The sequence below is a fragment of the Homo sapiens genome, chromosome 8 (genome assembly GCF_000001405.40).
Source record: "Homo sapiens chromosome 8, GRCh38.p14 Primary Assembly".
Lineage (NCBI taxonomy): Eukaryota > Metazoa > Chordata > Mammalia > Primates > Hominidae > Homo > Homo sapiens.
Window position 1 is genome coordinate 12161662 of NC_000008.11, and position 16455 is coordinate 12178116.

General features: G+C 45.8%; 1 pseudogene across 1 annotated transcript; it reads right to left on the minus strand.

Annotated features, from left to right (window-relative positions):
* Nucleotides 1–11792: 11792 nt before the first annotated feature.
* Nucleotides 11793–15606, minus strand: FAM90A2P (family with sequence similarity 90 member A2, pseudogene; annotated as a pseudogene). Its single transcript, NR_046354.1, has 5 exons — nucleotides 15575–15606; nucleotides 13988–14166; nucleotides 13294–13493; nucleotides 12727–12835; nucleotides 11793–12062 (listed from the first exon to the last, which is right to left on the minus strand). The product of NR_046354.1 is annotated as a family with sequence similarity 90 member A2, pseudogene (transcript).
* Between the last annotated feature and the right edge of the window lie 849 nt (nucleotides 15607–16455).

Below are 16455 nucleotides of genomic sequence, written 5' to 3' on the forward strand. Positions count from 1 at the left end.
AACTTGCCTAATTAATTCACATTTAGAAGTAGAGTAAAGAGGGTTTCAACCACTTGAAACACCACTGACTTCATTTCATGTGAGAGTTGCTATGGAGAGCTAATGAACTATGAGGCTGCAGGTCTCTCAGCCAATAGGTCTTCTAGATTTCCTATGTGACTCCCTTTTCTGGTCATAGGCGATTTTGCTTTTGCTTTGAGTGTTATAGCACAATAAGGTGTCAGACACTCTACTCTTACCAAGTCTTACACAAAGTTTATCTTGTTATTTGGTGGAGCTTGGCTCATAAAAACAAAAAAAAAAAAACGAGAATGATAAAGAGGAGGACAGCAATCCTCACGGCTGAGGAAAGAAGAAAGCTTGGCTTTATTTCCAGTAGACAGAGAAAACTTCCGTCTGTGGCTCTCTAGCACCAGTGGAATGTCTCTGTTTGGATAATAAGTGTCCTTCCATACCTCATTACGCATATTCACAGAGATGTACTATGCACACAAAATAACCTTCATAGGATGACTGAGAGTCCATGTTTTATTGGACACTAAGTTCATTAGAATGATGTGGGTGCACAGTTTTGACCAGAAAACCTTGTTAAATGGGAACATAAGCTACCAATATTTTGGCAAAAGATTAAGGTTTATGAACAAACAACCATTTATGTTAAGTTACAATTAATTAGGCCATGTTGAGAAACCTTTTAGTTTAGTTAATGATTAGACATTTTGTTAGTGAACCTTCCCAGAGTTTACTAGCCCTATTAATCCCCACTTTGCCGCTGGTCTGAACCCCCACAGTGCCTTGTTTATGGTACAGTGCCTACTGCCTTGTATGTTAGATTAGTGAACGTATATTTGCCTCCTCTACTACTGCAGGAGTTTCTTGTTTGCCAGGACAGGGCTATATTCCTCAGAGTTGAGGAGGAGTTGAATCAAGTGGTCATTTATTCTCAAATCCTCTTCATCAAGTGAAGCAAAACAGGACAGTGAAAGGTCACTGCACATGGAAGCAGGAGGTCTGGATTTCAGTTCTAAATCTCTAGATCTATTACTAACTGGAGGTATGGATAGAGTCAGGAAAATTTTCTTCCTTAAGTCTTGATAGCACCTATGTAGGTCCAGATCCGTTGGATCTAGATAAGGGGATTCTCAATAATTACTGTGCATAAATCAACTGAAAGAGTTAGTTTGCAATGCAGATTCTTAGCCCCATTCTATGAAATTTTTACTGTTTTATAAATTGATAAATAATTTTTATTAGACAATGTAATTTTCCTTACTTGCACCAGCATACAAAAATATTGAATAATATTAGCAGCAGAATCTTTCAACAAAATATCTATGTATAGCTATTAAACCACTTTGTTTCACTGCTTTTTATTTTCTTTTATTTATCACTATTGTCTTCATTATTATCGTCACACATTATTGAATACCCATCATGGAGCATATGGCATAAACATTGTTTCTGCTCATAAGGAGTATGTATTCTCTACATGTTTATAAAATTAATGCCTGAATAAGTTTGCTTAAACAAGGCAGAAGTTGATTTCTTTTTCACTTAAAATTAACCTGTAGTTATACCATTCAGGGCTAGTACAGATTCTTTCTTATATCATTAGGGATGCAGGTCCCTTCCAGCTCTTTGCTCTGCTATACTTTAGAAAAGGTCGTAGTTTGGCTGCTAAATTCCCACCTATTATTTCTGAATTCTAGACAGCAGGGAGAAAAAAGGCATGAGAGAATGGCAAAGGAACATCTACCCTTCCTTTTTAAATTTTTTAACCAACCCCCCTTAAAAACACTTTGTTGAGACATGATTACATTCAAAAAGCTGTACCTATTTAATGTGTATATCTCAGTGAGTTTGAGAATAAGGATACATTGTGAAAGCATCACTACCATCAAGATTATAAACATATTCATCACCTCCCAAAGTTCTCCCTCCCATTCTAATTATTATTTTTATTGGTAAGAATAATTAACATAAAATTCACCCTCCTATTATATTTTAAGTATGCAATACAGTATTCATAGCTATAAGCACTAAGCTGTAAATTAGACCTCCTGAACTTATTTATGTGGTATATCTAAAACTTTGTACTGTAATCACACCTACACACTTACCTGCACCACAGCTCCTGGCCAGTCTACCCTCTGCTTCTGAGTTTGTTTTTTTGAGATTTCAAATACAAGTGGAATCATACAGTATTTGTCATTCTGTGTTTGGTTTATTTCACATGACTTCATGCCCTTCAGATGCATCAATGTTGTCACAAATGACAGGGTTTCATTATTATATAATACTGAATAATATTCCATTGTGCATATATATATATATATATATGTATAACATTAATTCAGCCATTCATGAATGAATGATAACATGTATGTCTTCTTCATAGATCTTGACTATTGTGAACAGTGTTGAAAGGAACATAGGAGCGCAGATATCTCTTTCACATACTGATTTCAATGACTTCATATATATATATTTATATATATGATATATATATTATATATAAAATAAGTGGGATTGCTGGAACAAAATGGTATTTTTATTGTTAATTTTTGAGAAACCTCCATACTGTTTTCCAAGGTGGCCATACTAATTTACATTCCCACCACCAGTATACAAAGGTTCCCTTTTCTCCACATCCTTACCAACACTTGTTATCATCCATCTTTTTGATAATAGCTATTCTAACAGGTGTGAGGTGATATTTCTTGGTTGTTTTCATTTGCATTCCCGTGATGACTAGAGAGGGTAAGAATTGTTTATATATATGTTGTCCATTTGTATCTCCTTTTTCGACAAATGCTTGCTCATATATCTTTGTTCATTTTTATGTTTTTAATTTTTATTTTAGACACAGAGGATACATGTGCAGGTTTGTTACATGGATGTATTGTGTGCTGCTGAGGTTTACAGTATGAATGATCTCATCACACATGTAGTGAACATAATACCCAATAGGTAGTTTTTCAGGCCTTGCACCCAACCCTCCCTCCTCCCTCTAAGAATCTCCAGTGTCTGTTGTTTCCATATAAGTGAGAGCTGAACAGTGTATAACCCAATGTTTAGCTCTCACTTATACATGAGAATATGTAATATTTGGTTTTCTGCTCCTGCGTACCACACCACACTGGGCTAATTTTTATATTTTTGGTAAAGATGGGGTAGCTTCAGCATGTTGGCCAGGCTGGTCTTGAATTCCTGAGTTCATGCGATCCACCCACCTCACAAAGTGCTGACATAACAGGCATGACCCAGTGCACCTGGCTTTTCTGAACTTTTTTAGCTTATATTAGGTTTGTCTGTTCTAGAATTTTGTATACATTTATTTATATTATAGGACACTTTTTAGCTTAGCTTTCCCCACTCGGGGTTAGAAAGATTATATTGATCCATGATCATGATGTCGATTCATAGAGTTGATTATTCCCATTTATTGATAAATATTACTCCATAATATGCATATAATTTATCAATTTCCTCTCAATAGACATTTGAGCTGTTCCCAGGCTTCAGCTATTGTTAATAGAACTCAAGGACACATTTTTAAAAGAAAAAATTTCAACCCAAAATGTCCTTTCCTTTTGGCTCTCCAATATTGTGTCAGGGTTATATATTTGTTGTCTTGAAAATCCAATTACATTGAACAGGAGGTGTCTCTAGAATCAAGGTTCAGTATATGGTGGTCTGGCTGTGTCCTGGAATGTAGCCCTTATTAGTTTTATTGAGCATTTTCCTATATAAATTGAAATCAAGTTGAAGACTCATTTTTCCACAGTAGGACAAATAGAACAGTTTAGGACTTTGGAGAGATAGCAACTTGCTGCTTGCCTGTGCAACCCACCTCAAAAGATACAACTCCTCCAACTTTTGATTTCTGGTGACTTCTCCAAACAATTAGATGTGAATTGACCTTATTCCCTTACATTACTACATGTCGATATTCTGCACCTGGCCAAATACAGTATAAAACTGATGAGCATACATTTCTTTTAGTTTCATATTTTCTATTTAAAGCTACTCTCTTTGGCTGGGCACTATGGCTCATGACTGTAATCCCAGCAGTTTGGAAGGCCAAGATAGGTGGATCACTTGAGGCCAGGGGTTTGAGACCTGCCTGATTAACATGATGAAAGCTGTCTTCCTGAAAAATACAAAAATTTTCTGGGTGTGGTGGCACGTGCCTGTAATCCCAGCTACTCAGGAGGCTGAGGCGGGAGAATCACTTGAACCCAGGAGGCAGAAGGTGCAGTGAGCCAAGATCCCACCTCTGCATTCCATCCTGGGTGACAGAATTAACCTCCATCTCAAAAAAATAAAAAGCTAATCTATACTTTTCTTTTGGTGCATTATTAGAACATAGAAGGCAATAAGGCAAAACTATTGTGGGTATATTAGTGCGTATCTGTAGCACCTAGCACAGTGCCTAGCCCATAACTTGTGTTGAAAATTAAGAGAACCTTCTTCATGACAGATCATTTGGAGAACATGTTATGGGTGTGGGAGAAAAAGATTCCTAACTCTCCACCCCAGAAATAATTTTGCTGATACAAAAATCAGCCAGACATGGTGGCACAGGCCTATAATCTCAGCTACTTAGGAGGATGAGTTTGAGGATAAGGATACATTGTGAAAAAGGTGGGAAAATCACTTGAACACAGGAGGCAGAGATTGCAGTGAGCCAAGAGTGCCCCACTGCACTCCAGCCTAGGCAACAGAGAAAGGCTCTGTCTGAAAGAAAAAAAAAAGTTGTTGCTATATAGCACATAATTTCATTGTCATCTCATTTAAAATTGAATAGCACATTTGGGTTGAATTCTTGTGCCTGCAGATACATTTGCTTCTGGCTTAAAATCACTGGCTGTAGGAGGAAACTCCAGCAGAGGGCATCGTAAGGATTTCATAGTGTCTATGGTCATCTTGGTAATTCCTCAGATAATTCCTGGCAATTCTATTAGGTCTTGAACTTCACTTACTTCTTACATGTTTAATAAAAAGAAGTTCAAAACATTGCCATGGCTGTTGAATTCCCACAGGCTTGTCTTCCCTTTAAAATTCATCACATGGTTTGTACTCTTTTGCAGATATAATACGTAAGTTTGCAGGTGGATGCTTTCAGCCAATAAGTTCAAAAGTACTGCTACAAGGGCCAGGCATGGTGGCTCACACCAGTAATCCCAACCCTTTGGGAGGCCAAAGCAGGTGGATCACGGTATCAGGAAACTGAGACCATCCTAGCCAACATGGTGAAACCCCATCTGTACTAAAAATACAAAAATTAGCTGAGTGTGGTAGTGTGTGCCTGTCGTCCCAGCTACTCAGGAGGCCGAGGCAGGAGGATTGCTTGAACCCGGGAGGCAGAGGTTGCAGTGAGCTGAGATTGCGCCATTGCAGCACAGCCTGGTTACAGAGTGAGATTCCGTCCCCCACCGCCAAAAAAAAAAAAAAAAAAGTACGCTACATGGACATCCATTGTTCCAGCATCTCTGCCATAATAGCGGAGGAATTATAGAGAATGTCTGTTAATTTCTTTAACTCCAAATTTGTGTTATGTCCCTTGGTCTCCTGTCATACCATAAATTGTATTATTCATAAAATGGACAATTTGTCTACAGTTATTTCTTCTCAGTATGCTACATCTCTTTAGAATTTAAACATAGAGTGTCTCCCAACCTGAAATTGAAAAACCAGAAAAATGTTTTCGGACACCTTTTATTTCCAGCTGTTTTTATGTCCTCTCCTGAATCCAAGTTGAGGGTAAAGTCCATTCATCAGCATTTCTCCTCAACTCACAACAACCTCATTCCACTCCAGTATGATGTTTGTCCCCACAAATTGATGCACATAATTCTTGCTGGCAGTGGTAATGTCCTAATAAAAAAATATCACGAGATGGCGTCAGACTTTACTTTATTTTCTAGCTCAGCAGAATTTGATTCCTGTCTGATAAGGAAACCCTATTTTCCCTAGAAACTTTTCACTTTTGTCACAGGTTTGGTTCCCAGGGAACTGGATATAGATAAAGTTTAGTGTGCAGGATGTTTATTAGGAAGTGATGTGAGGATCCACATCTGTGGAAAGGATTGGAGGGAAGCCTTATGTGCAAAGGGACAAGTCTAATGGCAGTGCAGCCTGACATTGTCACCTGGCCACACGGACAGAGCTGTAGAGCTAAGAAGTCCTCCCCTATTTGTCCCAACTGAATCAAATGGCAAAGCCTATGTACCCCTTGCCTCCATTAATGATTGTGTGCTTGCCACTTGTGGAGGATGAGACTTTGAAGCAGGTGGCTTTCTGTGGCTGAAGAAAACCTTAAATGTGCTGACAAAGCTTTCCAAAGAGACAGAGAATGGCATCTGCCAGGTATGTTGCCCCTTTCCAAAGAGGAAGCAACAAGGGTAATGGCCTCCAATGGCTCTGTATGCAGATAGGTGGACAGTAATGTCTGTCACTCCTGTGACCTAAGAAGAACAGTTGGCAGACTTGCAGCCAGGCAGTTAGAGGTGACACAGTGTTAGGAGATAAACATCTGTCAGAAGCAGTGCTTCTTTGAATCAGGTGTGACACGAGCCTTGCATCCCTTGCATGGACCCCTTCCCCATTATCTTGCTGTCCTACCTCATGAAGGTGGGTGGGTGCTGGCTGGTGGGTGGTCCCTGTACCAGGTACACTTTGCCTGCAGTCTTTCCACATGAGTTCCAAGGTACCCCATGTGGTCATCCATGAACGTTGTGTTTTCCTTATGCTGCATGTCCTTTGCCTTTGAGGAACACGTTTCATTTGACTCTGAGTCCAAACAACTCAAGTGTCCCTATATCTGTACATTGTCCTTCACTTAAGGGAATCTCCAATCCCTAATGACTTTCTTTTATTTTTGCTATTAATATTATAACAATTAACATTGTCATTATTATCTTCATTGTTGATATTCAGTTATTTTTATTAATAGAGTTACTGTGAATTATTATATTGTAGCTACTTACACCAAGATGAAGATAATTTATTAGTTCAGGAAGAATCTGCATTCTGAAGACAAATAGAAGTTCCAGCTACAGATGGGCAGACACATGCCCTCTCAATTCCTGATGGACCTCCTAGTGCCTTCTGGACCTAAGGGGCCTCCCTCAATGTTCCAAGGTGCCACCAAGGCAGGGATCAGCTCGTGCATTCCTGAGAACATCCCGGATGAAGTGAGGCTCTGGAAAAATGCAAGAGTTTCCACATAATCCCAAAAAACACTACAGGTGAACTGGATGCCACAGAAAGAGGAGTGGTCTTTGTCACAACGAAATCAACAAAATTATTTCGAAGTCAATTAGGAAACTCAGAAATCACTCTTGCTACCATTAAGAGGAAGAACAGGAGCCTGTGAATGGCATCCCTGGCCTACCTGAGACTCCAAAGATATTTCTCTGTGGCTTCTGACAGCAGAAATCTCTGTGATTTTCAGAAAGGCAGGGACAGCTCCTGCCAGCCCATCCTTCTGCAGAATGTGTCCCAGCAGATCAGTGGCATGGAACCATCATGGACAGCACAAAGGCTCAAGGGCAGCATCCCAGGCCGGCCTGTGACTCTAGATAAGTTCTGAGTCCCCATGGGGGCTCAGGAAAGGTTAGTGATGACCTGGAAAGAAGGGACAGGCTGAAACCGCCCCTAAGCAATCTGCAGGATTCCAACTTCAGCAGGAAGCCAAGGACCAGCTATTACCACACCTGCGCCCCCTGAAAACGCTGGATACAATCCCACTCTGCAGAAAGTTCCACATAGAAGTGGCTGGGAATTTTGCCTTCTAGACTGCATTTTACACTGCCTCTGGACATGTGATGAGAAATTTAACATTGGTGTATCTAACTCTGACATTTTTCACGAAGTGATTTTTTAAAATATGGTAAAAAAGACAAAATATAATTCAAACATATGCATTATATGTCAAAGTATGCTTCGCTGGCATCAAGTAGACTCACCTTGAGATGCAATCTTGGACAACCTCCATCTTAAGAATATCTAGTTTTTCAAACCAAAACTCTCCAACCAAAAATCAATAACATCAAAAGTTTGCAACTACAAGCCGACGGAAAATAAATACATGAATTCTACCACAGTGAATTGGACTGCACTGGGAAACACAGATGAAGAAAGCCAACACCGCTTTGTCCTTCAGTACCTGGCTCCCTTTTCAGCTCGTCTTGCGACTCCAGGCATTATGCCTGAAAAGTCTCCTGGACGCCTGTGAGGCTCTAATTCCCTGGGTCCCATTGTCATGTCTCTGGATTTGCGAAGATTAACCGGACCTTCTGTGGAACTCCCGTGTCCCTCAACTTTTGTGACATGTCCCCTAATTCTGCCCATGGTCATCTGCACCTGCACGACTTAGGGTCCATGTTCCTTGGACGGGAAGAGACAGGCAGGAGTCGGAATGATGAACCAGCACACTGGGGCATTTTCTCATGTAGCCCAAGTGACCCCATGGTCTTCTTGAGCTTTGGAACCAGTCGCGTCCCCCTTGACACTGCACCCGACTCCCAGTTTCTCAATCTTGTTGGCCCTCCGGCGATCTCCCGTTGGATGAATTGCATCTGCTGAAACTCGAGTCCCCTTTGATTTGTGCTTCATTAATTATTCATGATTCAGGTTGGAAGGCCTGCTGACGACCCCCTGTGGCCGTTTTCCGAGCTTTCCGGTCACATCGTTTCCTTCCACCCTCTTTGGTTCCTTGTGGTCCTGCTCCTTCTGCTGTCAGAGGAGCAGAGAGTTGATCTTATTGATTCTGGATACGGATACTTTGTAGGTGATCTGGATAATCAAGATAACGACCCTCAAAAGCGGCGGAAAGGGAGCAGCCATTTGGTGTGTCTCAGCAAATCCCGCTGAGTTCCGAGGCCGCCTAGGTATGCAATCCTGCTGAGAGTTGTTCCCAGGTCAGAGAATGGAGAGAGCCTGTGCATGATGGGATATCCCTGCCTAGATCTTTCAGTGAGTCTCTACCTCAGCTACTCTTAGGATCAGGGGGAGAACCATGGAAAGGCCCGGTGTCAGACATCCGGAAAGAAGAGGGATGAATGTTTCACCTCTGAAGTACATCCCAAATGTGGGAGTTAACTTCAGCTTTGCTGGGGTCTACTTGGCCAGCGAAACTCTGCCTGGTTCATTCGCACATCCGGAAGCCACTTCACGGGGAGCCGTCGCAACCGGAACCACACACTTGGCATCGGCGGTTGAGCCAAATGGGGACTCGTGGTGCAAGCAACGCTCCCCACGTGTTAGCGTGCGTGAGATTCAATTGGCGGAATTTTACTAGGTGCGTGTTGGTAGAGCGGGGCTGAGGTTTTCTTGCTCCTGTGGATGTATAGGAAGTCAAAGGTCCTGCCCAGCCCTGCGGTCCCCTCAGTCAACTCTGTTTCGGAGACATAACGATTTGGATTGCTAACAAGTCAAGAAATGTTCAAGTCCTTGGATGTAGGGAAAAGAAAGAGAGATCAGACTGTCACTGTGTCTATGTCGAAAGGGAAGACATAAGAGACTCTATTTTGAAAAGGACCTGTACTTTAAACAATTGCTTTGCTGAGATGTTGTTCATTTGTAGCTTTGCCCCAGCCACTTTGCCCCAGCCGCTTTGACCCAACTTGGAGCACACAAAAACCTATGTTGTATAAAATCAAGGTTTAAGGGATCTAGGGCTGTGCAGGACGTGCCTTGTTAACCAAATGTTTACAAGCAGTATACTTTGTAAAAGTCATTGCCATTCTCTAGTCTCAATAAACCAGGGACACAATGCACCGTGGAAAGCCGCAGGGACCTCTGCCCTTGAAAGCAGGGTATTGTCCAAAGTTTCTCCCCATGCGATAGTCTGAAATATGGCCTCGTGGGATGAGAAAGACCTGACTGTCCCCCAGCCTGACACCCGTAAAGCGTCTGTGCTGAGGTGTATTAGTCAAAGAGGAAAGCCTCTTGCAGTTGACATGGAGGAAGGCCACTGTCTCCTGCTTGCCCCTGGGAACTGAATGTCTCGGTGTAAAACCCGATCGTACATTTGTTCAACTCTGAGCTCGGAGAAAAGCTGCCCTGTGGAGGGAGGCGAGACATGTTGGCAGTAATGCTGCCTTGTTATTCTTTACTCCGCTGAGATGTTTGGGTGGAGAGAGACATAAATCTGGCCTACGTGCACGTCCAGGCATAGTACCTTCCCTTGAACTTAATTATGATATAGATTCTTTTGCTCACATGTTTTTTGTTGACCTCCTTATTATCACCCTGCTCTCCTAGTATATTCCTTTTTGCTGAAATAATGAAAATCATAATCAATAAAAACTGAGGGAACTCAGAGGCCGGTGCAGGTCCTTGGTGTGCTGAGTGCCGGTCCCCTGGACCCACTGTTGTTTCCCTATACTTTGTCTCTCTGTCTTATTTCTCTTCTCCGTCTCTCATCCCACCCGACTAGAAACACCCACAGGTGTGGAGGGGCAGGCCACCCCTTCACTTGGAAAATCAGTTACACACAAACACGGAATGAGAGTCAAAAGACAATACGTCATCTTTTTGAGAATTTTATTCACTTCAAAACAAATTCAACACACCTGTTTACAAAGGCATTCCAGAGCCCAGTTTTCGAGGCTGAGGAAAGACCCCGAGAGCGCTTCGCACAGCACGCTTCCCAGCGTCCGAAACACTGCTCTCAGGGCGGGGCACAGCGGAAGGGCTGCACCTCTCAGGGTTCCCTAACTTTTCCCTTATTCAGTCATCTAGAGAGCAAATACACAGTAATTCCCCAGTTTCCTATTGACGTCCCAGCGGAAGTCTGACTCCTGCGCGTCACGCAGTTTCTGAGGCAACGAATCTCTGGCACGGAAGCTTTTCCTGGCGCGTTTCCGGAGAACCACGCCAACTACAACGTCCCTCACCAGAATTCAATGAGGCAGAGTCCCTGCATCTGCTCCCTGCCTGGCCTGGGCTCCCACATCCACAGAAGCGCCACAGCCGGGGAGCTTCGGAGTCACCGCACAGAGTGTGCTCTCTGCTCTGCTCTCCTCAGTCCCACAGTCCCCTCCAAGTCACGGGAGCTGGAGGCCAAGGAGCCCCTGCCACCTGCAGTCTCACTGCAGGTCAGAATCGCTGTCCTCTGAGGAGGAGGAAACCTGAAGGTCTTCATAGAGGACGTTCGGTGGGACACGAACACAGGGACCCTCAGACTTCTCTGACACATGAGGGCTCTGAGCGAGGAAGGCTCCCGGCTTCTCAGGAGAGTGAAATGAGGGGGCCGCCAGGAGGCTGGAGCTCCAGCGTCTGTTTTCTAGTCTCCGGAAGAGCACTCTGAGAGGCTGGGCCCCATCATGGCTGGCCGCTGGGTGATGGGACATGGTGCAGGCCTGGGCAGTAGGCAGGCAAGGTCTGCTGTGCGGAGGCTGCCGGTCGACGCCGGGCACCTGGGCGGGTGTCCTCCTGCCCATCTGGGGCGACGTACTTGGTCCAAGTTCGGTTGCGGCTGGCGGAGGTTGGAGATTCTCCGGGGCCCCCAGCTCACCTCCCTGGATGGCGCTTTCGGGGATCTGGAAGGGACCCAGTCTCGGTTTCTTGGGGAAGTTCAGGCAACCCTGAATCGGAGCCTGGGCAGGTCTCTTGGCTCCTGGTCTGAAGCTGAGATTGGAGCCTAGGCCCAAGCTGTGTGTGGCGGCTGGTGGGCCGGGCTGTCAGGTCACCGCAGGACGTTTGTCTTGTGCCTGGGGTCTGACAGCCTGGAGCAGGCCGTGGGTTTTGGAGGCAGCCTGGGGAACTTCTCGGCAGCCACCCTCACGGCTGCTGTGTGTCGGCTTCACCACGAGGAGAGGCTCGGGGCCCTGGTGCCTGACTGCAGGCTGAGGGATGTCGGCCGCAGCACCTGTCTGTCTTTCCTTTGGTCCAAGACTTGAGGAGGATCTCAGACTGGCTTTTCTGAGGGGAGACAGTGAAGCCAAGACGGAGCCTCTGCCAGACATTTCGGTAGCTGAGCGATCAGCGAGTTCAGGGTCCACGCACGGCCTCTTACTTGTTGTGTGGACCGGCATTGGCCGGCTTGCAACCTGAAAGAGAGGAAACAACACAGGTTAGAAGTTCCTCAGCATGGAGCCAACGTGAAAATCAAGCACATCCAAAGACAAGGTGCACACGCCATGAAATTCTTAGTACAGTATCGACAGGCGGTCCTTGGAAGTAGAGACAGACCCTCCACCTGAGTGCTGATCAGGACAAGACACATGAACGATGCGCTCTCGAGCTATGTGTAGCTGATCTAAGCACACCATTGTTCAAAAGATCGCGTCTTGGGCATTAACTGGATCAAAGCGCCTCCACTCAGCCTTCCATGAAGTGGAACAGACTAATGCCCTTCCGAAGGCAGGTTGGTGGCTCAAGGGTACTCAGGACGTCTTCTCTGAACACATGCATGTTCCAGAGTTTAGCCTTCTCCATGTTTGGGGCCTCTGAGGGACAAATTTCCTCATGCCGCTAGGAACATGTTGTTGGCAGGCTTGCCATAATTGGACAGAAAGAAAGCAACAGGAAATACGGCATCTTCAGATGCCTTCGCCTGGAATCAAATTGACCTGGAAGGATCGTGAAGTCCCTGACCCCAAGAAGGCAAGAAAGAGGGGTTCCCCGATTCCCTCCCGCAGACGGGAAGCTGAAAGGAAATCAACCAGGGTGACCTAGAGGACAAAAAGACCAGGGGCCCAGGGTGACACTCACCCTCAGAAAAACAGAAGATTCCGTGGATCCTTTTCGATTTGGCAGCAGCTTCTCTGGAGGTTTCCCGGAAAATATGTGGAGGAGAGCCTTTCTCTGCGGGTCTTGTTGCCTGCAGAACAGAAAAAGGTCAGGCCATGGCCCCTGGTTTTCCCCAGGAGACAGGGAGAACCCTGTCTGGGGCTCAGTCCCATTCCGTGTTTTGTGATACAGAAATGGACATCTGGTGCCCTTTCCGCCTCTGCACCTTCCCTCACGTGCCAACCTTCCCATCCTCCAGGTGGCCCTCTAGGCTTCCTAACTAAGGACTGTGATTTGGATTCCATCGCTTTTCCCCCTGTCGTGGGGAATCTGCACGAAGCACCCCCGCCTCTCCCCGTCCCTGAATCTCCCAGAGCCAAAGGAACTCCTGGGTGTGGAACGCCGGAGGACACGGAGCTCCGGCCTATTTCTCTGCAGCGTTCCTTCCCTGGCCCGGAGACGGAAAGGCACACGGTGTGCAGGTGCAGAGACACCATGTCCTTAGGAGGCAGTACCCTAAGAGTGGTGAAAACCCCTCCCACTGCTCACCTTGGTCTCTCTTCCTTCTCTCCCTTATCCTTGTTCAAGGGCCCCGGGTTGGCTTCAACCTGGGGCTTCCATGGTTTCAGGTTTTCCTTCCCTTCCTTTTTCCCCAAGGTCGGTGGAACCAGGGCTGCCTTCCAGCACTTCATGGGGCACCTGGTACTTCTGACCGTGTGGCCAAGGGCCCTGCAGTTTTTGCACTTGAGCTGTGGGTGGAAAGGAAGTGATGTCAGTGAGTGAGCTGAAGCCACAGGCAGCGATCCCACGTCAACATTGAGACGGATTGTGAATTCAGAGCTGAATAAGGATTCCAAAGAGGGGACACCAGCATGGGGGCCATTAAGTGCTGGGAGAGTTCGGATGCGATGTTCCCTCCCAAAGCCCATGTGACGGAGGAACTCTAAAAGGCAGGACTCAAGGTTCTAAGGGGCACGATGGTGAACCCGATGTCAACAGCACAGCCAAACGTGGCTACACAGGACTCTAAATAGAAAGGGAGGTTGCCCCCAAGAGTCTCTCAAGGGGCCTATCGGGCCGCGGAGGAGGTCCCAAGCCACGCCCACCTTGGATGGGAAAAGCAACCTGGGTGGTGGTGACAGAACTCTTTGGAATCCAACCCAGTCTCTGAGGACCGTGTGATAGCCCCTCCCCCCGTCCCCACCCCCACCCCGATACCCAAGAGATCCAGGGCTAGACTTACCCTGGGATCTTCTTCATCGGGCGGGGGAGCCCTTGGCCCAACTGGGGCCCTCCGCTGCTTCTGGAGGGTCTGGGCTCTCACCAGTCTCTTTGCCCCAGGTTTGGGGTCACGACGTGCCGTCATCTTCGTCTCCTGGGGGTTTTGTGACCGCCTTTTTCAGGGGTTGACTGTTGGGTCACCTGAAACACACACAAACACACACATGTGGATGGTTAAGCACGTTGGATATTCACACACCCACAGGAAGCCCCCCGCTAACTCCTTGCCGGTGTGGTCATGAGGAGACCTCACCACCAGTCGGTCAAATCTGTGGAACACAATGTGCTGTGTGCATCCTCAGATATTGTGTGTTCCTCTGCCATGATTACCTAGTCCAAGAGTAAACTTCGCCTGCCACAGGGCCTGTGGCCTAGGTATGGGGAGTTGAGCTTTCAACTCCAAACTAACAACTGATTCTGGAGACTGGACTTAGGTCTATTACGATTCACTCCGGTAGAAGACACGATGATTCTATCTCCCTTGACGGACAGAATGATCGAAGCCACAGGGCATGGCATTTGTCACCCTTTGGCAGGTCTGTTTGAAATCTGGGATAAGGGATGCTTCCTGTCACAACTTGAATCGCTACTCTTGCCATTTCATTAGGCGACTTCCAAACACAAATTCATAGAGAGAAGTTATCTTCCTCTCTACCACACTAGCAGGTGATGGTCTTTCCTGTTCTATCTTTTTGGCTTTAGCTCCAGCCCCTCTTTATTTATTTTTCTGGTATTTTACACGTGCCACACGAATTCATCTAAACAAACGGTGAATAAGTGCCATATCGTATCGACGTCTTACACCGCTGAAGGGCAAACCACCCTTTTTTCCAAAGTCCTTTTTCCATTTACCCACCAATTCAGCATGCTGCAGTACATTTCTTTTCACATTCCCATCTTGGTCTTCTCCCACACGTGGAGACGGAAATGCTTTCTCGTTTTCTGTTCCAAGAATTACTAGTAACGAGAACACATCCTACCCCATCAGCAAGGCCCAGTGTGATCGGTTTCTCTCGGCGTCCTTTGTCTCTTCCCACCCACCCCTCAGGGATTGCGTGAAAAAAACAACTGTACAGTGAAACTAACCTGAAATTACACGTCTACTTTCTTTCACCGGCTGGCGCTGAGATGGGCAGGTGCTGGAGCAGCCCCCCTGGAAGTGATGCAGCATCCAGGAAGACGGAGGAAGGGGCGGAGAAGGACCTCTGCTTTCCAGGCTGCCTTTTATACTGCCTCTGGTCACCTGACGTGGAACGTACCCTAACCTAATCAGTTACATGTAAGTTAATTGCAATTAACTTAATCCAATTACATGTCCCGGAAAGGTCTATCTGCACAGCCCACTCTAAGATCATGTCCACTGCTGACAGACGTTCTAAAACCTACGTGTACAGCTGCAAGCTTTGAAGAATAGATGTTCCCCGTCAGACATGTAACACTGGTGCCTGTACCCTTGTCTTTTTTTCCATCTTTTTTGTTTTTGTGTTTTGTTTTGTTTTAAAAAATGTGGTAAAATAGACACCTTTTAATTGGACCATATTTACTCTACCTCGACGTAGGCCTCAGTGTCTTCAAGGAGATTCTCCTTGACATGCAGTCATGGCCATGATCCATCTTCAGAGTTTCTCTTTCTTCCCCACGGTAGGTCTGTCAGCAGAGAACCCTGACCACACCCTCATGTGTTTTCTCCTCCAGGAGGCGCTTGGAAACCACCGTCAATTGGACCGCACTGGGAAACACAGATGAACAAAGTCAACACCGCTTTGTCCTTCAGTGCCTGGCTCCTTTTTCAGCTCGTCTTGCGACTCTAGGTATTGGAGTCCAGGGAGGGGTACGTCGCCTTTACCCTGTGCTTGCCACGATCTTGTCTCCTTAATCCTCACTGCAGTTCTCTGCCATAGAGTCTTATACTGCTTTACATGTGGGAAACTGAGGCTCAGAGAGTTTCACAGCAGGGCAGGGAGCCCAGATGTGAATCTGTAGATACCAAACTTTCTAATTTTTCAGTAGTTTCCAAGCATCTTTTATTTTTCTTGTTTCTTCGTTGGTGTCTTTTTTTTTTTTTTTTTTTTTGAGACAAAATCTCTGTGCCCAGGCTGAGGTGCAGTGGTGTGATCTCAGCTCACTGCAACCTCGACGTCTCACATTCAACAATTCTCATGCCTCAACCTCCCGAGTGGCTGGGACTACAGGTGCCCACCACACCCAACTTATTTTTGTATTTTTAGTAGAAACACGGTTTTGCCATGTTGGCCAGGCTGGTCTTGAACTCCTGACCTCAGGTGATCCACCCGCCTTGGCCTCCCAATATGCTGGAATTATTGATATGAGCCATTGGGCCCGGTCATGTCATTGGTGCCTTAACCAAGCCTCTTTTAATTTTTCAAACGGAAGAGCCCCTGTCCCTCAGTTACGGCTGCTGAGCCCTTT